The sequence below is a fragment of the Homo sapiens genome, chromosome 18, assembly GCF_000001405.40.
Source record: "Homo sapiens chromosome 18, GRCh38.p14 Primary Assembly".
Lineage (NCBI taxonomy): Eukaryota > Metazoa > Chordata > Mammalia > Primates > Hominidae > Homo > Homo sapiens.
In genome coordinates, this window is record NC_000018.10 from 74,773,651 (window position 1) to 74,796,675 (window position 23,025).

The 23,025-nt window shown below is 36.1% G+C and overlaps 1 protein-coding gene across 8 annotated transcripts in view; it reads left to right on the plus strand.

Annotated features, from left to right (window-relative positions):
- Positions 1–23,025, plus strand: part of ZNF407 (zinc finger protein 407) — a 467,802-nt gene that overhangs the window by 175,781 nt on the left and 268,996 nt on the right. For 7 of the 8 annotated variants that reach the window (NM_017757.3, XM_017025838.3, XM_011526069.4 and 4 more), the window contains one exon: positions 7,778–7,852. In NM_017757.3, the coding sequence (NP_060227.2) occupies positions 7,778–7,852 (75 nt within the window). Of the gene's footprint in view, positions 1–7,777; positions 7,853–8,243; positions 10,835–23,025 lie in introns of those variants that run through there. The other variant, XM_006722500.5, reaches the window with a different exon arrangement.

Here is a 23,025-nt window from a genome sequence, read left to right on the forward strand (position 1 = left end):
TAATGTATTTTGTACCACCAGAAAATTTATTATAACACATTTTAGAATAATGAAAAGATATACTGATTGTTGCAGTGAGCACTCATTTACCAAACGTGGCCATTACAGTTGAAATCCTCTGTGTATATTTCCTTCTGTGCCCACAATGTATGTGTTTGTTTGTATATTCATTTATTTCCTAGCTTTGTGGATTGAAAGGGCTTAGACTCCATGATACTCCAGTAGCAGTGATCAGAGTTAGCACCCAGGTCTTGCTTTATAAACACCACTACCTACTATAAGAAACCAGGACTGATTGCAGGTCTGGAGCATGGACAGTGACTGTTGGGCCTGGAAGGCTGGTTGTACTAGAAAATAAGGAAGAACCCAACAGTAAGAGAAGTGATGTCAAATAAACATAGTAGCCAACTTTGAAGAGTTTCCACTGGCCAATTTTGGGAAAATTTGAGAATTACAAGACATAATTACGGTAATAGATTATAAAATATGGTATAAAATCCAAGAGTCCAGATAAAGTGCTTTAGAAAGAAAGTGAGGGTGAGAGAGTATGTCACAAAAAGATTGGGGAAAATGGTTAAGTCTCTCTATCAAAGAATGCTAGCTAACTAAAATAGAAGGAATGATAGAACATTGGTATTTTGTAGCCTTCAGAATAATCGAGTTAGGCAAGATTCATTAATGGGTGCCTATGCCATTGGGAGAAGGTTGTTAGTGAACAGGATACTCACACAATATCAAAATATCACCTACAGATTACTTAATTACAAATGGCAAGTAAGTATTTATATTGAAGAAATTTCGAGATTACTACCTTAAACAAATAGTCAAGTTTAGCATAATGGAATGTGAACCTGACGTTACTTTTATCCTGATACTATGTAATTGGAAGTACCCAACATTCGTAGGTGATGTTCTTGCCAAAAATGTTTAAACTGAATCAAATCATGAGGAAACAATCAGACATACCATATGTGGGACATTATTATAAGTTAGGTTACTCAGAGTTTTTGTCACTATACAAATAAAGAAAACGAGGGTAGTTGTAGATGAAAGGAGATGAAGGAGACGTGACGAAACACAGTGAGTGTGTCTTATAGACTGTGTAGTAGATATTACTGAGTCAGTATTTTCTTGAGTGTGATCTTGATCCACAATGGGTAGAAAAATGTCTTTCTTTGGAGTTGTGTGCTGAAGTTTTAGGGGAAAAGTGTCATCTCAGTAACTTACTTTAAGATGACCTAAAATAAAGAAAAAGTACGTATTAATACATTCTTAGTGAGAGAGAGCAAGGAAGCAGGCATCCCAAAACGTTAGTGGTGAGCCGGTTTGGAGAGGGTACAAGTATTTCATGTATTGTCTTTTCAACTTTTCCAAGTCTTAACTTTTTTCAAGAAAGAAGCTAAGAAAAAGAACAGTTCACAATTAAAAAATAAAAGTGTGATAGATAAAAGGATAAACCTTCAACATAAAATTAGATATGAAGTTGTTTATCAAAACTTTGTAAAATAATTATTTATCCTTTCTGTCTGCTAGGATTGTTGCTGGAAGGTTTCTACTTGGATTATTATTAGTTTTTCTTTACCTATTTTGTCCCATGTCAGTATTATCTATTCCACTCCACCCTTCACACCCATCTTTTGCTGCTCAGGTCGGAACAGTATTTGTGAGAGTATGATGACACAACTGTAAGCTGGATACAATGTTTAGATCATAGTTCAACTGTGTTACATAGCTAGCCATACAATGTTTATTTAAATTATTCGTGACTGTTTCTTGGACTGAATCAGTACTTTGTAATCAAATTCTGATGATGTCAACTGCAAGTGCAGTATGTGGTAATCTGAGTAGACATTATCAGATAGTTTCTCACATATTTGTCAGTTCCCACAAATCTATTTTCTTATAGTTGTGTGAATCAGAAGTTTGAAACCAGTCCTCATACTCGACAGCAACTTCACCATGCTCTGAATGCTTGTGTCCCTCCAAAATTCCCATGTTGATACCTGTATTAGGCTGTTCTCGCATGGCTATAAAGAAATACCTGACGCTGAGTAATTTATAAAGAAAGGAGGTTTAATTGGCTCATGGTTCTGCAGCCTGTAGAGGAAGCATCGTCCTGGCAGCTGCTTGGCTTCCAGGGAGGCCTCCAGGAACTTACAGTCATGGCAGAAAGTTAAAGTGGGGTGACATGTCTCACATGGCTGGAGCAGGAGCAAGAGAGAGAGAGGGCGGATGTTTTACACACTTTTAAACCACCAGATCTTGCGAGCTCTCTACAGTACCGAGGCTGACGCTAAACTGCTCGTTAGAAATCTGCCTCCGTGACCAATCACCACCCACCAGGCCCCACCTTTAACATTGCGGATTGCAATTCAGCCTGAGCTTCGGGCAGGAACGCAGAATCAAACCATATCAATACCTAATCCCCAGTGCCATAGTATTAATTAGTTGGAGCATTTGGGAGCTGATTTTGGGAGGGCAGAGCCTTCAGGAATGGGATTAGTGTCCTTATAAGAAAGGCTTAAGGGAACCTGTTTGCCCCTTCTGCCTTGTGTGGACACATAGAAGACGCCCTAAGGGGAACGGGCCTTCATTACACACTGAATCTCCTGGCACGTTGATCTTGGACCTTCCAGCCTCCAGAACTGTAAGCAATAAATGTCTGTTCTTTATAACTTATCCAGTCTCAGGTATTTTGTTGTAGAAGCCCTGACTGAGTCCTGTAAGCATTTTCTAAATTGTTTCCTGAAGCCACAGTTCTAGTAGATGTTTTCTATGACAGAAATATTTAGTGGTCCGGTAAGATTAGAAAATACTATGCAGATCTCCTATTTCTTTCCATTTCACCGTGCTAATCAGCACACACATGACTGAGAAGTCTACAGAACTTCACTTTTTAAACCTAGTGTTATCCAAACTTATTTGAAAATTCCCCCTACCCCTACTTTTTGGTAACATTTCTGTTGTCATCCTGAAGAACAGTCATCCATAGGAAACTGTTTGGCACAAGAGAAACACAGCCAAACCCCCATGCAGTAAAAAATCCAAGTATAAGTTTTGACTCCTCAAAAACGTAACTACTAACAGCCTATTGTCGATCAGAAGCCTTACCAATAACATGAACCGCAGATGAACACATTCTGTATATGTATTATATGCTGTATTCTTACAATAAAATAAGTTAGAGAAAACGTTATTAAGATAATCATAGGGAAGAAAATGTGTATATTTAGTATTCTTTAAGTGGCAGTGGCTCATCATAAAGGACTTCATCCTTTTGATCGTCGCATTAAGTGGGCTGAGGAGTAGGAGGGAGAGGTTGGCCTTACTGTGTCAAGGGTGGCAGAGGTGGGAGAAAATCGTAGCAGAAGTGGACTTGTGCAGTTCAGACTCGTGTTGTTCAAGGGTCAGCTGAGCTGTATGTGCTTTAATAGATGAGTTAGATCATCTCCCATGACTCTCAAATTGAAATAATTTTGTAGTGATAAAACCTAAAGGACTGAAGAAATAGGTCTTTATTATATGGTATGTAGTGTACAAGAATTTATTTTGAAATATTGTTAAAATAAGATTTTTTTTTTTAAACTGGAGTGTAGGCATTACTACTGCATTGCTGTTTTTACACCAAAACAAATTTTAAGTTGTACTGTGTCAGGCATTTACGGATACTTGTAAGTCGATCAATATTTTAAAAACAGTATTATTTTTTATTTAAAGGTGTTCCTTCAGATGATTAGATGCTTGCAAATGGATGACTTGAGCAAGAGCAGTTCTAGCATGGATCTTGGCCTCAAGCAGTAGAGTTGGCCTCCTGTTCCACGGGCTCTTGGATGTTCAGTAGGCTTCCTCATGAACATGTCCCAGACTGATCTCCTTCAAAACAGCTCAATTTCTCTTAAGCCAAAAATGGATCATTTCTTTGATTTCTCTTTCAGACTCTATATCCAATCCATATAGAAATTTGGTTAGCTCTGATTACAAATATATATCCCAAATCTGACCACGTCTTCACTGCTAGCCTTTGTCCAGGTCACTATCATCTTTGCCTGGATTATTCCAAGAGACTGTTGATCGATCGCACTCTCTCTCTCTCTCTCTCTCATTCACTCAAAACAGAGCAGACAGGAGTGCTATTGAAATGGAAGCTGAGGCTAGGTGTGGTGGCTCACACCTGTAATCCCAGGACTTTGGGACTTCTAGGCAGGAGGATTCCTTGAGCCCTGGAGTTTGAGACCAACTTGGGCAACATAGTGAGACCCCTGTCTCTACAAAAAAAATTTAAATAGCCAGGCCCAGTGGCGCATGGCTTCAGTCCCAGCTACTGGGAAAGCTAAGGTGTGAGGATCCCTTGAACCTCGGATTTTGAAATTACAGTGAGCTATTTAAAAAAAATAAAAACAAAAGCAAAAGTAAGTTGGACAAGTCACTCCTCTGTTCAGATGCCTGAGATGGCTTTTCTTCCCACTCAGAATAAAAGCTGAGGCTGTCATGGCCTTCAGTGTTGCTATTCTCACCCGCCCTCTTTTTTCTATCCTCCCTGGATGGGACTGTCCTCCTCCTCACTTACCAGCCCCCAGGTTTATGCTCCCACATCACATCTGTGAGAATGAATTGAGACTCTGCCTTCAGAGGTCTGTGGTTGTGCTCTCTCCTCCTGAGCAGGGGTTGCTGGTCCTTATTCCTTGGCAGGCACCGTGCCTTCATCCTCTTTACTCATAGGTCTCATTCCTGAGCCACCCAAATGTGGAATTTCAACCCCTTGCTGACACTGTAAGATCCTTGTTCTGTAATTTATTCTCCTACCACTTGACATTGCTTAATATGATACATATTTTACTGTTTTTTTTTCCTTGTTGTCTGTGTCTCTCACTAGGTTGTACATTTTTTGAGGGCAGGGACTTTTATTTGTTTTAGTCACCTGTGCATCACAGCTGCCTAGAACTGTTCCTTGCATAATAGTAGATCCTTAATAAATATGTAAATTAAATGCATGTGTGAATGACTAGCACTGTCCACAGAGGAGTGGCTAGTCAAGCTTAGTGTCACTGCATCCTGTTGATAAGCAGCAGGTTGTCGAGAATGCTCCGGGAAGGCATGACTTGAACGGTCTGTGTTTTCGTCATAGGTGCAGGACCCCCTCACAGCTAGCACATAGTAAGTGATCAGTAAACGTGATGAGACAGGGACTGAAGGTATGAAAGAATGAGGATTTATTGGGAGCAAGGCATGCCAATTGGCTAGCTTTCAGATTTGCCATCATTTTTGTTTTATTTCTGGTGATATGTAGATTATGTATATATATTTTTAAAAGTTATGTTAAAAATGTTAAAACAGTAATGTTACAGTGTTAGTGTGGAGTAGCCTACCTTCAGTAACCACATATGGCTGTCAATATTATGTCCATATGGGTCAGTAATTTAATGCTAGTCATGCTTGGCATATATATATATATATATATATTTTTTTTTTTTTTTTTTTTTTTTGAGACGGAGGCTTGCTCTGTCGTCCAGGCTGGAGTGCAGTGGCGCAATCTCGGCTCACTGCAAGCTCCGCCTCCCGGGTTCACGCCATTCTCCTGCCTCAACCTCCCCAGCAGCTGGGACTACAGGTGCCCGCCACCACACCCGGCTAATTTTTGTATTTTTAGTAGAGACGGGGTTTCACTGTGTTAGCCAGGATGGTCTCAATCTCCCGACCTTGTGATCCACCTGCCTCAGCCTCCCAGAGTGCTGGGATTACAGGCGTGAGCCACCGCGCCCGGTCAGCTTATATATTTTTTTAACCGAGGATGATTTTGAGGCTTTTACCTTATTTGTACTTTAAGCCAAATTTAAAGAATTAGTACTTCTTTTAAGTCCAGTGTTGGTTGAATAAATATTTTGCATTTGAACACAATTGAGCTGTGTTATAGTATTAAAACTTTTTCCATTTTTCTCCATGATAATAAAAATTATTATTTCACTAAATATTCAGCACTAGAGACACTCAGCACGTTAGGACATTGTATTAGGCAAAAGCTTTTTCTCCCTATTTCCTCTAGTTTGTTTCCCTGTGCCATGTAATATTTTTGCTTCAATTCTTAAAACCTAAGTATTTTAATTAATAATTTTGTTTTCTATTAAAAACTGCACTGTGGATTCTAAGTTCCCATCTCTTAATTTGTACTTGGTCGTGTAAATAAGCTGTGCTTTGCAGCTTTGGGTTTTTAACCTTTGCTCTTTGCTATTAGCTTTATGTTTTTTTAATTATAGACAATGGAGGACAGTAGGGAAGTTATGACTTAAATTCATTTATTATCACTGTGTTCTTTTTTAAGGAAATGAAAAATGTTATTTTGTCAAAACCAAGCAGAAACAAATACAGAATTTTTGTACTTTTTTTTGCTCAGCATTTAATATTATCACAGTTTTTTTATGTGATAATTTCATTTTAGTGATTGATGTTGGTACCAGTTGTTTATAGTTGTAAAGTGTGTATTGTCCATAGTTGTTATTACCTAATATTTAAGTAGAATGATTGTTATTTTCAGTGTATGTAAGTGCATTATTTGAATAAAGAAGTCATGGTCATTTGTTCTTAAACCTGAGATTCTGTAATATTATATGAAATTAAACAAAATAAATTAGACATTTAGACATGAAAAGAAAAGAAGCATGTTTTTAGAAGTTGTTTTGCTTTTGGCTTTTGTCACAAGTCTTTTCTGCAAGGATACAGTACTTTACAGTCTTATGTGGCTCATTTGTGCAAACATGTCCAGATGAATTCAGTGTTTAATGTTGAGAATCTTATAACATGCCAATTTGATTTGTAGCCTTTCATATCATAGAATGCTAATTAAAATCATATTTTTGCATATGTCATGTCTTTCATGTACATATGCAAATAGATGCTGTTGCCTTTCAGCTATTAGTAATTAACTTTATGAAGGACAGCTGTAATACATAATTAACAAAAATGTTTGCAAGCCCTTTTACACTGAAAGTTACAGCAGTAAATTTTTTTTCTGCTTATCCAGAGAGCCATTTTAGTTTTGATGCTTCTGAATGTTTCTGATCTAAGTTTTAAATAATCGCATGACGTAAATAAATTGATACTGCACTGTGTTCAGGGGTAGAATGGCATTCATGTACTGCTGATTCCTGTCCATTTCATATTTATGTCAACAAAATTGAATTAAGTAAGCTGATTTGTGTATAAAATAAGATAGTATGTCAGGTAATACTTTTTGTTTGTTTTTGTTATTGATATCTAGGTACTTCAATATAATTTTTTGTGCTATAGATACAGTAAACATTTGTATTATTTTTAAAAACCTCTCTTCAAGTTATTACCATGTTTTTAAGGAAGCTCCATGAAAGCTATTCTTTTTCTCTTTTACGGTCCTTTAAATATTTAATAAAATGACATTTTCTCAAACTCATTTCATGATTGAAGTGTGCGATGACCTAGGGGCTGTGCATGTTATACTGAGGTATTGCTTCATCTTTCTTACCAACTGGAAGTGAAGACAGGGATTGAAGAACTACAATCATTGTGCTCTTTTGCTCACTGTTAGTGTATCCAAGTCAAAACTGAACCAGTCAATTTAGATGTAGACTTCTTTTGAAGTCCTACAGTATATTTAATCTGTATGCAAGCTTTGGTGTAGCAAGAGTGCCACTGTAATACGCTTTTTATGTTATGTTTGCATATATATATTATTCTTAAGTTCTCTTTGTACAGATTTCTAGTGGAGAGTCAAGTTTTAGTTTTATAATTACTTTTGTTTATTTTTTAGGGTTGCTTTTGTAATGAAGAAGCACTTAAATACTCATCTACTAGGCAAGCATGGAGTTGGCACCCCAAAAGAAAGGTAATTTTCATTCTTTTTTTTTCATTTAAAAATACAATTTGATTTTTATTTTAGGCTTTATTTAATGACATGACTTCTAGACTTTTTTTTCACATCAGTTAATCATGTTTCTATTTGTGGTACTCTTTTGTCAAATATCATATTTTATGCCATCGTTTCACAAAAATTTAACATATTTTAATTAAAACTTGAGTCTAGAAGTAGTTGAAAGCATTTGGAGGACTTTGAATTTGTGAAACAACCTTGAAATACTAGAAGAATTAAATTGGAGGGAATTACCTTCTGAAAATGCATTCGAGTGTGATAAAACAAATATGTAAAACTCAACTTTGTTTTATTATATATTCTTATTTTGAGGTTTTAAAATAACAGTTTTGAATTCTTACTCTAGACTTAAAGATTGCTGATATTAAGAAGAAATACATCTTGTGTCATCCCCCAAATAATACTACAGTTGCCATGTCATGAAAAATAACACTACAATTATTATGTCATCAACTGCCAGGTTTTCTTTTTTCTTGCTTCTGTATCATAATTAGCTTCATCGCATAGACTTAATTATATTAGGTGAACTGAAATATAGCAGTGTCAGCTACCAGGTGAACATGGCTACTTCTGATATTTTAAATCTTTAAAATGTGCAGCTCACTCAAAACTGGTATAAGCATTAGTACTTTCCTTAAAGTCAGGATAGATTTTCAGCTTCCCTCAGATTCTCCAAGGTAGGATCCAAAATTCTACAGATACTCTCAGAAACTTTAGTTTTTTTAATACTGTTTTCAAAAGTCACTAGTGATGCAATTTTTTCTGTTACTCTGAAGCCTGAGGTCTTCAGTCATATTTGTAAATGTTTAATAGTCTTTTTAAAAATTAAAATGCTCTTAGCAGTATTTTCTCTGTTAATGGGAATTTAAGTTGACTTTTCTGTCAGGCATATTGTTTTCTTTAGTATTGTAGTATGGGCATAGACTGCTACTGAGTCAAAATTTTGGGATCTTGGGATGTCTCCTTTGCACCCATATGTTTGATTTCATCCCCTCCGCTCCCCTCCCCTCCTCTTCTCTTCTCTTCTCTTCTCTCTTCTTTCTTCCTGTTCTCCCCGTTCTCCCCTTTCTCCCCGTTCTCCCCTTCATTTGAGATGGAGTCTTCCTCTGTCGCCCAGGCTGGAGTGCAGTGGCATATGTTAGCTCACTGCAAGCTCCACCTCTCGGATTCACACCATTCTCCTGCCTCAGCCTCCCAAGTATCTGGGACTATAGGCACCCGCCACCACCTCCGGCTAATTTTTTTGTATTTTTAGTAGAGACGGGGTTTCACTGTGTTGGCCAGGATGGTCTCAATCTCCTAATCTCGTGATCCCAAAGTGCTGGGATTACAGGCTTGAGCGACCGTGCCCGGCCTATTTCCCTTATCTTTCTTTGTAACATTGTATTTAATAATTGCAGCAAAAATACATGCATTGAATGTGTCAGGGATGCATTATTCTTGAAATTTAAAAGCATACTATACTATATTTTTAAAAGAATAATTTGCGACATGTCAAAGTTATGTTTCATAAGTGTTGTTTAAGTATGTAGAAACAGAACATATTTGTAATTGCTATGTTTTCATTGCTTTCACATGCATTATCTCAGTCCTTCTTTGACCTTATTAGCAGTACATTATTATTCCAGTTTTATAGATCTAAGGACTGAGCCTAGAAAATACAATAATAATTTATTCAATATCTCATAAATAATAAATGATGGAACTGTTACTTTTCTGACTCTGATTTCAAAATAAATTTGAATGAAAACAGTGGAGATTGTGTAGTAAGAAGAAAATATTTCCCAACTGTACTTTTAAATAGTATATATTTTTAATTTAACTACATCATTTTGGTTTTTACTTAGAAATTTTTTTAAAAGTTGAAGAATTGTTCATATTGTTTCACAGGGAAAAGTTGATCTCCCCATATATGTGCATGTATGTATATATGTTCATGTATTAAACACCTTAAAATGCTAGAAATCCTCTATATATTACGAATTTGAGAATCAAAAATTTACTGTTTTTTTTTTTCATTTACCCTTTTCGTTACATTCTAGGATACTTTTTCTTTTCTTTAATATTTATTTCTGTCCTGAATACATAAAGGGAGATTAAAACTGAGGCAGGAGAAAGATTGAATTTCTCCCCTCTGACACATGGTAAGCCCTTCTCAGATATTGACACTGTTTTTGTCCTAACATCAAGAAAATCGCAAGTGGGAAAGCACACCCACCTTCTGGATCAGTACCTTTTAAGTACTTCAAGCAGCAACATTCTTCTAAACCAAACGTCTTTGACTGAATTGTTTTTCCTTTTAAAAATTCTTTGAGAGGACTTCTTGTTTTTGACGTCTGCTTATATGGCACTCTCTCCTGTTACAGAGAAATACTACACAGGAATGCCAGGACCCCAGCAGCAGTATAATTTTCCAGTAGACACCTGTAGCTAGAGCAAACCAAGATTTCAATGGTATAATCTAGAAGCAGAAATGCCAGTCTCCTTGTTTCCATTTCACCTTCCTCCCTTCCTTCTAGTGGTTTTAGGAAGCAAACCCTTCGTCAGTATGCTGGACCATCAGTCTGGGCACAACTGTTCTCTAAATTAAGTTAAATATTTTTCTTACCTATTTAAAACATTAAAGCCTTGGTTATACTTTTGCAAGCTTGCTGTATTTTAATTTCTCCAGGACAGTATAATCAGTTTTAAAAAATGTTTTTAATTTGATTCTCCATTCTAATGCATTGCATATTATAGCAAATAGTAATAGAAGTTAGCTAAATAGGCTGTGACAATTAAATTAATAATGCATTTTGTTTGCAAGTATTTAGGCCTTGTGCTTTGACTGATATATGCAAAAATTATAATTTATTAAAAATAAATCCATATACTTGTACTATAATGTTTGATGATCCAATAAATTTTGTCAGCATGGCTATCATTAGAAACAGAAAACTAAATTATTTCAAATATTTTCTTTGAGACTCTGTGAACACCTGAGGTGATGGCTTGTGTAAGATTATACTTTTTTGTTCCTACATCTGCATTAAATTATTTTAGTGCAGTATCCTACAGTATTTCTGAAATCCTACACACTTAAATTCAAACAATTACATATAACCACATTCAGTTCACATTCTAAAATAATAAACTCCAGTTAACTTGCAAGTTCATTTGAAAGTATTCGCTATTTTAAATGAGTAATTCTCTTTGTGGTATAAGTAAGCCAAAGCATCTTTATGACTCTTTGAATTGACTAATAGTAATCTAGAAAACGAGCTTATCTACAATTATCACAATTGGAACAGCCATACTAAGTATATCTTCTGTGAAAGCCAGGTGCAATTACAATGGAAGTGGATGGTATTCGTCGTTCAGTGCTGGAAATCAGCTGGGTTTTGAATGACTGTGTAAATAGGAGGACAGGGAAATGATTCGTGTAGAGCTTTGCATTTGATCCATTGCTTTTGTGGTGTCAGAGATGCTGTCAGGACATATCTGCACTGGCAGCATCTCAAGAAGGCTGATAAACTCAGAAAACTACCAAAGAAGAATTTTAAATTAGATGCGTGTGTCATAAAGTATAAGCGTTAAATAATTTCATAACCCAGGAAAAGTACTTGTGTTTTTACTGGTGAATATTCAGATCAAAACCTTACGTATTTCTTCCAGTGCAGCCATTTTTGTCGGAGTCTGTGAAGTTTCTTACCCTCAGTGCATTTTTGTTAGCATAGCTGTTGGGTGTGTTCAGGCTACTGGATTTGGCTCAGGGCTTCTTAGTATTTTTGCTCAGGCTAAGATTTCCTCTGGGGTCCTCCAGATTACTGAGCCCTGAAATTTGTGCTGGCCTCTCCCCTTTTATGAGACATTTGGGATATGGGGTTAGCTGTCTTTCTTTTAGCAGCACCATTGATCTTATTGATGAGTCAAATCTTTACCCCACCTAATGTAATTGCGGAGAGATGTCTCAGAGCCCTGATGCTTATTCTAATTTATTTGAAGCCAGTATAATAGGACATGGCATTGTATGGGTCTTTTGGAGACTCTTTTCTCTCCTTTTTCTCTATTTTCTCAAAAACTTGCATATTTATAAGTTGAAGTGGCATAAAAGCATCATTGCTATTTTTCAAGTTTACACAGGAGCGTCACCTTTTTTTTATGAAACATGAAAATATCTGAAACAGCAGCATCTGTGGAAAAGCGCATGCACCTGGCATGCACCTGGCATGCAGATGTCACTCACATGGCACACACATGTCACCCACATGGCACACACAGCATGTACATGGCATGCACATGTCACTCACATGGCATGCACATGGCCCACATGGCACACACGTCACTCACATGGCACGCACATGGCACTCACATGGGACACACATGTCACATGGCACACACGATGTCACTCACATGGCACACATGATGTGTGCAGTTGTGACTGATGCTTCACAGGGTTGTTTACAAGCTTAGATGATGTTATATGAGAAAAGCCATGCGTTTATAGAAACCCTGAGGAAATTATTGGGGAACAGATTAAATTTTTTCTTATTAGAAGATATTCTATTCATCATATATGACTGACCTCCGACGTCACAGTTGTCACTGTTTTCCACCTTAAAGAAATAACTTCTAAGTTGTTCTTGTTGCATATATTTCATTTTATTAAAGGGAAAACAGTTTTCCTCTATTCCTCCATAGTGAGTTTCTATAAGGTAAATACTGTTATCCATTTTATCATTGAAATGGGTGATTTATTCTAATGGATGTGTTGTGATAGTTTCTTCTCTCTGATATATTCTTCATGGGCTCCTTCTGGAATATTTTTTATGAAACTTTTCAGTCACCTCTGTGTCCAGGCTTCAGGCTCTCCCCTTTACCCACTACTTATTAGTCTTTCCCTTATTTCTTATTTTTTTTCCATAGTTAGCAATATTTTTTCTTTTTCTTTTTTTTTTCCCCATGATGGCCAATTTAGGAAAAATAAAGTGTTTATGGGCTTCTCTCCACCTTAGAACATATTTACACAAGAAATAATTCTTTTGGGCTAAAGTGGAGGAAAACATGTCAGTTCTTTCCATTCTGGGTTGCTTATTTTGTTGCGTGGGGAAGGGGGTTATATTTCGATGACGTACTGCTTTTGCATGAGCTGCGAACTCTTTCTGTTTTTTCATTTTTTCCATCTTTTAACCTGTAAACAGTTAAATATAAATAGTATCTATGATCATATGACCTGGTTTTAATTGGTTTTAATGTAAAAAAGTATGTTTTTTTTTTTTTTTTTTTTTTTTTTTTGGAGATGGAGTTTCTCTCTTGTTGCCCAGGCTGGAGTGCAGTGGTGTGATCTCGGCTCACTGTGACCTCCGCCTCCCGGGTTCAAGCAATTCTCCTGCCTCAGGTTACTGAATAATTGGGATTACATGCACCCGCCACCACACCCGGCTCACTTTTTTTGTTTTTAGTAGAGACGGGGTTTCATCATGTTGGCCAGGCTGGTCTCAAACTCCTCACCTCAGGTGATCCACCTGCCTCGGCCACCCAAAGTGCAGGGATTACAGGTGTGAGCCACCATGCCCAGCTGTAAAAGTAAGATTTAATAGTGCGATAGTCCTGCTAGATCAATTTGTTCTGCATGGAAAGACAGCTAGAAGTCATATCAATTCATCTAAAGCCGAAGTGTTTATTTTAGAAAATTTCTCTTATACTGTATTTGCTAATAAACCAACAATTTACTAAGGCACATGTGGAGATAGGAGATACACCCTCATGTTCCACCAAAGTTATCTTGCTGGGATTTGGAAGTATTTCTAAATTCTATGGGTAATTCTTTGGGTAATGTAGATGATCTGTGGTTGCTTCGTCAGCAATGTGTTATTACTAACAATAATATTTTCTAACTTCTGCTTCATAAGTTTTGCAGATGAAAGTTAACAAAAGTCAGCATCTGTGCTGCAGAATCTCAGGATTGCAGGCAGATACTTATGGCTCCTCTGCGGGGTGGAGAGCCTTCTCTTCAAGCTTCTCTCTTGGTTGGGTTCCTCAGCTCTTAGGAAGCAATGTCACCGGTACTCCTGCATCAGTTACATCATCAAATGCGACATCAAATATCTGGATTCCATGTATTTGTCAGATAATTTACTTTGATGTCACGATTCCTTCTTTCTTCTATTCATTTCTTAATGTCCTTTCAGTTTTAGCTTTCAGTTATTTCCATTGCTAGAGAACTGCTTTTCTTCATTGACTTGTTTCGTTTTCTTCCTTTCGTAAATTGACTCCGCTCATTTAGCACACAGCTATGACAATGACTTAAATTTAAGACTGTTTTAAGAAGTAACCTCATAAAAGTTACATGTTTATTGTGAAGGTAGTATTTAGGATGCTGTTCATGGAAATACATCTTTCTTTTAAGACTCAGAAGAATTATTTCTCTCTGGTCTTTATTCCAGAGAAAGTTGTACTTGTCTCTAACACTTCGTTAGCCTTTGATACTAGCAAATCATGTATATGATTGAGTTTTCCTCTTTATGTTTACTGTTGGGAAGCTCATGGCCAAAATTGTGATCCATCTCTAGTCAGCAGGATAGCCTTAAAGGCATGCATTTTATTTACTACTGTTATTTCCAGTTTTATTTATTTTTTCCTTATGGGGAAGTCCCATTTTATGTCCGCAATATATTTTAAAAACCTCCCATAAATCAAAGCTCATGTAATTCAAGGGCAGTTTTGCAATAGAAATTGTTTTTGAGTAAAACCAATATTTTTCTGGAAGTGCATATATCTTTAGCCATTTGGTTTTGGGGGCGTTGTATTGAGCATTGTGCATCCCTGTGATTAGGCATATTTTAATTGTGCTTGCTCTGTTGTAGGAAACTGCTGTGCACTTCTGTGTAGTGGTCCAGTGGTGCTTTTTACTTCTCAGACTTATTTATTTAAAAACACGCTTGCTTCTAAAGTTTGCTGAACAGACCCAGTTAACAAGTACTCCCAAGGAAAGGAAAGGGAAGGATTCCTTTCCTTTTATACCAGGAGTCCTTGCTCTCTAGCTGTATAAAAAATACTGTTTCTTTTAGTACATCTTGGTTATCTTGAAAAAAAAAAAAAAACACCACCACAGTTTACTACTTTAGTAGAAATTATCATGCTAGAGGTAGTGAGTTTTTAAGTGTTAGTAGTATATGTCACAGAAAATAGATTTTGTTTCTTATTGCTTCTAAGATTCATTCCTCAATTTTAATCTAGGAAGTTTCTGTGTATCCTGAGTATTATTTTATTTATAAAATAAATATAAAATATCAATAAAATAAATATTTTATTAATAAACTTGAATATTATATATTTTTTATTCTTTAGGAAATACTGATTATTATATAGTTATTTATAATATGTGACAAATAGATCTATTATTCCTGCTTAAGGGGTTTTGTGCGGATGGGTGATAATAGGGCATCTTATTTCTTCACCTATTTATTCTCTCAATAAACATTGACTACTATGTTCGAAGACTTAGGTGATCTATAGTGTTTGAAGATGACACAGCCTCTGTTCTCATGGACTTGAATCTTCGGGTTGATGTCACAGGTGAGGATAGAGAGGCAAGACATACATAAATGATAATTTTCGTAGGTATAAGATTGAGGATGCTATTCCAGGGAGTGTCTGGGAGAGGTACTACTTTAGGATGAGTGGTTAGGAAAGTCCCTCTCGAAGGGCCTTGTTGTGTTTGATAGGTGGTTAGAGCAGTTCCAGCAGAGAGCACATTCCAGGTTCCCTGAGAGGTGTGGGAGAGCTTGGTGTGTTTTGTTCCGGTGTGCCTTGAGCTCAGTGGCCTTGCACACACGGTTGGGGAGAGTGGTCTAAGGTAGAGAACTAAGATCCCAGAGTTGTGTGCGTTGTTTCAGGAAATGGTCACCAGTGAGCGTATTTCATTGGCGGAAGGGCATGTAGTGGAGAGGAGAATATGGGCATATCAGGATGAACCTGGGAACTGGGTTGGAATCCAGCTGAACAGGCTGTGGCTGCTGTGCCAGTCGTCTTTTCCTCTGTCTGTAAGAGAAAGCCAGCGAAGTTGAGAACTCCTTGGAACTGTAACTCTGACAGCGTGCAGTGCAGAGCCCAGGGAAAGAGCCTGGGCTGGTGGATTCGCAGTGTTTCTGTGGCATTCGTCCTGGAACTCCACCTCCTTTTTCCTGGTTTACTACCTGGTCTCTTCTCTTCCCCAGTCACTAATTTAGTTTCTTTCTGTTCAAGTTCATATTGCAGACCAGCCTGCAAATAACCTTTTTAATCCTGTTTTATTTTGTTAAAATCTTTCCCTTATCTTTGTATCTGGTTTTTTTTTTTTTTTCCTCTGTACTTTTGTTCTACCTATTCTCCAATACACTCATATAATGTCCCACCTCTCCTGGTTGCCAGTCTAAATCATGTCTTTATTTCAAGTCCCAGTCTGATGCCCTGGCCACTGTCTTCTGTGAGTCCTTTTCTTGTTTACTGTATCTCTAATTGGTCTTCTTTTTCATCACATTCCTATGGAACATTAGAGAATAAAAGGTAATATACATGTTAATATATGGTTAGATTAGAACTACCTTTATCTTATTCCTTCCATCTCCCCAGAAAGAAACCAAAAGACTGTAATAATACTACATGCATTATAACTATGTTATTCAGTACCAGTTCAATGAGTTATTAGACCAGAGATATATGGTTAGTACTCTTATAATCTTTACTAAAATGACAATTATTTCATTCTCTTGCCTCTTATATAGAAATAAGATAAAACCGAATTCTGTAGAGATATTGAACTATAACTTTTGTAGTATGAAGCTTCCAGTTGCCCTTGTGTGTATAATACATTGTTGTCTGCTGTGACAAATTAATTTTTAAAGGATTTTCCTTTTCTACTACCATTTAGTCTGATAGTAGACTCAGATTTGGGGTATAAGAATATCTGCTGTTTTTAAGTTTTTAAGAATTTAGGTGTTTTTCTTCAGCTGGCATCTAGAATATTTTTGGCCATTCTTTCTTTTATTTCACTTAAATTACTTTTAGAACACTGGGGCTTATACAGCTGGACTCTGACTAAAATATGCCTTAAGCTCTTATCTTTAACTCCCAGTCATTGCCAGAATTAAAGAGAACAAAGGCCTATATGTTCACTGTAGTCTTCAATTATGCCTAATTACCAACTTGGATACAGTTTCATTATACAGTACTGACTTTTTGTGAGCAGTTCTTTATGATGTCTTGGTAGTTGCTTATAAAAGTCCGAATTAAAATTTTTTGTGAGGAATTTTCAGGAAAGAGAATCTATCTGAAGTAATTTTTGTCAAGTTGCATCAAAGCAATTTGATCATTTTTATGAGAAAGAAGATATTTTTATTTCATTATGCTACGGAGCTATGATAGGACACAGGAAGTGTTTACATAGGTTATTTCTACAACAGGGTTTCCCCCAATTCTTGGTCTTAGGGCCACTTGCATGATTGATCTATTGTGAGCTTAGAACAAAGAGAACCTCTGCTAACACTGTGGTGTTTTCTTACACTTAGTACTCATAGGAGAAAACAAGCAGATGATTGATAATCCCGTTTGAGACATCTTGATCTTGTGGTCATCCTCAGGTTGTACAAGATGTCTGACTGTCATTTCCGTTAGTCCTTTCAAGAACATTAAGGCACTCTTTGATACTTTTAAGATATTGCTACCTCCTCAGGTTGAATCATATGAACTTGACATTTACTAAGCTAAAAACAGTCAAATATTGTTAATTTCATATGAGTCAAACTAATTTTATATAGAAATGCTTCTAGTATATGATGTCAATATAAAGATCTGCTTTTCAGGGAAATAACCCTTTCCATTGAGATTTAATTTAATCCAGTTTTTTATTGTTTTGTGAATAATGATTTCTTAGACATAGCATTGGGCAGTAAGCCTATCGTGGAAGAAGGCTGGTCAAGGTGAGATGAGAAGCAATCTCACCTTGGTGAAATGTATCAGCTTTTGGTGAAGCTGACATGAATTTATCGATGCTGTCAGTGTTTTCACTCATTGCCATACAGAAAGCCATGGCTCCCTGTCTTCTAGGCCAGGGTCAGTGTGTACTTTATTTTCAAGGGTCAGATTTTTTCTCACTTATTCTGTGATGCCTTCCCTAGATTCCATTCCAAATAGTCACATCTTACCACTTAGAATGCTGATTTAGCAGCATTCTATTTTGCCTTCCTTTTAAAAAGGCGTTTATCCTGTCTCCAGACTAGATGGTTAATTTCTTGAGGGCTGGTCTCAGCTTCTCTTTCCTGTCTGCGCTTTGAAGAAGGGGATTCACACTCAGTAAGTACTGCTAGATTTAGGATACTAAAATCTTCATTGAGAGTTTTCTTTTTCATGATGGACTTTTACTCAGCTGGTCTAATTTATGACACACAGTCCCAGTAGTATTGCACGTCGCATAGTTTTATGGAGCTTTATATGGCACTGCCACTTACCGAGTCACCCTCAAGTTCATTGTACTTTGAATGAATGTCGCCTGTGACGCTGTGGACAACATTTCCCCTCCTTGGTTGGCAGATTTTGGTGAAACTGATGTGGATTTACAGTTCTAAAATACAAAAACAATCATACTGTTTATGTATGGAATTTTATCATTTTAAAGATACTAATTTTTTAAAAAAACATTCAAGAGCTTTTTAGTTGTGAAGGTCTAAATAATCTTTGCTTCGTTTTTTCATGCTAATCACACAGAGCAAAGGATTATGGGAAACAGCAGATTCAGCAGAACATGTAGATGAAAGTTTTTATTTAAATTAGACCCAAATTTTCTTTGAAGTTAATTAAAACAATAATTTCTCCTTTCATTGTCACTGTGCATTATAGTGTTTAGAATGCCTTTTCTCTTTTCTTATTTATGATTATGCAATATGGTTATGCCATATATTTTTGGCAACTAGATAGTGGCAGACTTATTTCTGGATAACAAGTCTTCTAAAATTTATGCCTTTGCCTTTTAAAAAATTATATTGTTATTATGATAATAAAATATCGAACATTAGGAGAAATTTTAATTAATGGCGTGACCCCAATGCTTATTTTTAAAATTAATACTTATAATAATGACAATATATGAACATATTTCAAAGTTTCAATGTGTTCAAAAGATAGAATATGAAAATATTCTTCTTCTTTATTTTCAAACTAATTTCTTTATTGTTGGTTTTCTTAGCATTAACTCTTTTTCCTTTAGCTGAAACGAAAAACAATTTTAAAACTTACGTGGAACATAACTGTGTGAAATCAATAAAAGCCAGGCTGCTCTGGTTGAAGCTGGAAGAGGGTCACAAAGACACGTCAATTGTGGAGCAGTTTCTCCACGTCTTACAGAATCTATGAGGCACTTCATCAGATTAAAGAAAATATCTTTTATATATGCAGCTCTCCTCTCTTACTTATTTGCTATTGACTTTTGTAGATTTAACATCCATAACATTGTCGATTCCTAAGACATGCAACTTAAATTTCTGTAAAGTATTTTGAGTTGGGCGTGTTCAGAGACCACTGTGACAGAGCTCTTAACTAGTGAGAGAACCCAGAATGTGGATCTCAGTATTGTTTATTTTTCTTTACTCATTGTATGTTTCTAGAATATCTGAAGAAGTGATTAAAAACAAAACAGTTTTGTCAAAAGAATCCAACTGCTGGAGTTGGTGTAGATAAATAATAACAAATATTTTGGATATAATCATTGTTAGCTAGAAATACAAGTTTGGCATAAATCAATGTCTGGAGTGTAATATTTTTAGTTTTCAGGTTTGGTGTTAAATTCACAAGTGTTTATTACTAAATGAATAAATAAGGTAGTTTTGTGTCTTGAGGCGTGATCATGATTTCTCCCACATTCATAAGATCCACACCATATGCTTGATGTGTAAACAAAGAAAAAGTGATTTCTGAAATTTTTATTTAGTCCTTTAGTACAAAAACTACCCCATTCAGTAAAGGAGAAAAGTTTGTTGAATGTTGAAAGATGGTTCTCTTGTTGGATGTTATGAATGTAAAGTGTGACTTTCAGCAAAAATGTAATTTGTTAGAAAATTATTAGTGTTTATTGTAAGATTTTATCTGAAATAACAATGGTGAAATAACTTGAGCAGCTATTCAACTCATTAATATGATGAGAAGAGTTGGGTTTGGACATTTTATTTTAGGAAGTGTTTTTCTTTCTATAACTTGCAGTTGGCAGAAGAGGGAACATCAACTGACCATGTTGTCGGGAAGCATTTTCCCGGGAGGAAAGACCTTCTTAGAGGAGAAGGCCATGAGTCAGCACGTACTCTTTGTAGATGAGAGCAAGTCTTCTCAAATGGGGTGTCTCTCAGGAGGGAGAGCTACCGCCAGGCTTTCAGGCAGCTGACTTGCCCCTCACCTGTTAACCAGGGCTTCATCAAGCTCCCGCCGTCTGAGAAAGAAATGTTGATTAGCACTGTCTTAGGAAATGGAGACTTTTTGATAGAAAGTTGCCAACTGCCAGGTGTGACATTGAGTCGAGAGAACTTTCTCTCCGAAGCCTCTGGTGTTTGGTTTGTCACTGAGCTCTGCTTCAGGGCTGTTTTCTCTCCGGGTGAGAACAGTGGCAGAAGCCTGTGAAATCAGGCTGACCTGCCTTGCCTCTCTGCCGCATACATGATGTCAGCGTCTTCACGTGTGTATTTTTCCGGCCAACTCCATCATCTGCCATTGTCTTCGTTTTGGTGCCTTAGGTTGATGTTAGCCAGTAAGGATGTACTCAAGACAGGCTGTGGAATTCCTTTTTCTCTTTAGTGGCGTAATTCATAGTTTTATTAATGATCTTATATTTATAGAATCACTGAAGTTCTAAAAGGGTCACATAATTTTTTTTTTTTTCAGAAATACTACTTTACCAGCTTTTATGAGGGAAGGTATATTCTGTTGGGCTTTTTAAAGGTCTCTGTTCATATTCCTTGCAAATATCATTGGCTTACTTTATTTAATTTGTCCTAACGCTACGTTGCTTATTGCAGAATAATATAGAATCATGCAATTTTGGATTTTAAGAGAATCTTTACATTTTGCAGATGTAAAAGTTTCAGAGAGAATTGCCCTAGATGAACTAGGTTTTCAAATTTTTGGTAATTAAAAAATGGTCTGTATCTCCATATTTTATAATATAACTTCATAACTTCACCTTTTTTGGTAAAAATGAACTATGATTTCATAGTTCTTTGGTAAAGCTATGCTTTCTCATGAGAGATCTTTTGGTAGAGTTGCATACGATGCTTAATAACTTCTCAGCACTTTGAATTTTAGTAATTGGTGGCAAATTATGTACAACTTAATGTATTTATGAAAGTTAAATTTCCTCCCCTTTTAGGATGTTTTTTGATGAAAGAGAATGTATAAAAAATAGATAAGTGAATATATTTGTTTAAATGAACAAGAAAATGCTTGTTTTTAGTCTTCAGCTTATTACTGTCAAACTTTTCTAATGATGAAATTTTCAGAAGTTACAGACTTTTCCTTTTTTTTCTTTCGATTATGGGATCATTCCTGTTAGCATTTGTTTATATGTAAAGTATAAAACAAGACTTTTCTAGAGAATATTATACAAATAGTATAAAAATATTCCACCAAAACAAAGATGAAATATTTTCCATTTATTATGAAGAAATGTGTAGGAGCTGATTTTATACTCTGGGGCCGTTGGCAAAATAAACTTGCATATATAGCATAGTTTATCTGAAGCCAAATTAATTTAGCCATTTGTGGCATATATCAAATCATAGCATCTGGACATTTATTTGTCATTCTATAACATTTTAAAAGTAAAGTTCATTTTAACTCTACTACATATGAATCAATATATTTGAGAAACTTTATTCAAGCTATTACTCATCTATTGACATTACAGCATTGGAAAAAATCATATTAGAAATATTTTGAAATTATGAATTTTGTTGTTACAATATTGAGGTACTCTTACTTAAACAAAAGTAATGTTCCTTCTACATTAATTGATAGTTTTACCATGGTTTCCCTTGTATGTTGATAATTTTTGACATCACACTTGTATGTGGGAAAAATAGACAAGCATGTAAATTATGAACTAAACCACCAGTTCAGTTCTGGGCATTCTCACCAAATGTTTTGCCATGTACTGAATTGTGTATGAGAGGAAGAGTTGAGCAGAGACCTTTAAACTCTTTCTTTGAAAGCTGAAAGTGACTTGGATTTAAGTTTCTGTTGTAAATTCCCCACATTTCGTAAATGACGGGTACATGCTTTGACCCTGGTATCATCCAGTACCAGTGTAATAAAAGTCACATGCAAAAGCAATGGAGTGTTATAGAGCCATTATATAGTGAGAGTCCTCCACATGTGGCATTTCATACCAGCCTCCCGCTGTGCACACGCGCACACACGCACACGTGCCCTTGCAGCACATGAACGAGTCTCTGGAAAGTAATTTTGGAACATGAGCATTGAGAGCATGCAAATCGGCTGCTCTTTTCTCCCTCAGGTGGCAGACTTAGTCTGTGTGCAGATGGTATTTAGTATATTTTTTAATGTGTTATTTTCATTCTAGAAAAAAATCTTAATTTTATCATGGTGACTTGAAGTTATTTTATTCGTTCTAGAGAAAGTGTTTCTGCAGTACTGAATATAATAGAACTGTCATCCAAATATTGATACATTTTTTTCCAGGCTGAAGAAGTCTAGATATATTTTTGTGTTTTATATCTTCAGTATATTAATGGCTTTAAACAAAATAAATAGCTCTTTGTGCATGACTGATAGAGCGTTAGGTTTTGTTACTCAATGAAATAGGCTTGTGGATTAGCCCCAGGTCATGATCAGTGCAAAAAGCAGGCAAATGCACTTGTTTTAATATCTATTTGATTGAGATCCCAAGCTGCATTTTTCTATATAGCAGAGATGTGTCACACGAGGTTGTAAGTATGTTCAGTATAGTAATGTCGAAGGACGCAAAATGGTGGGGAATGTTCCAGTCTGAAGCATTGTCATCTTTTCTCCTAATGAGCCTAAAATTCTAGCATACAATGCACTTTTGGCATCTTTTTTGAAAAGCAAGCTGTGTATGCTTGTGAAATGTTAAAAAAATTGATTGACTCCCA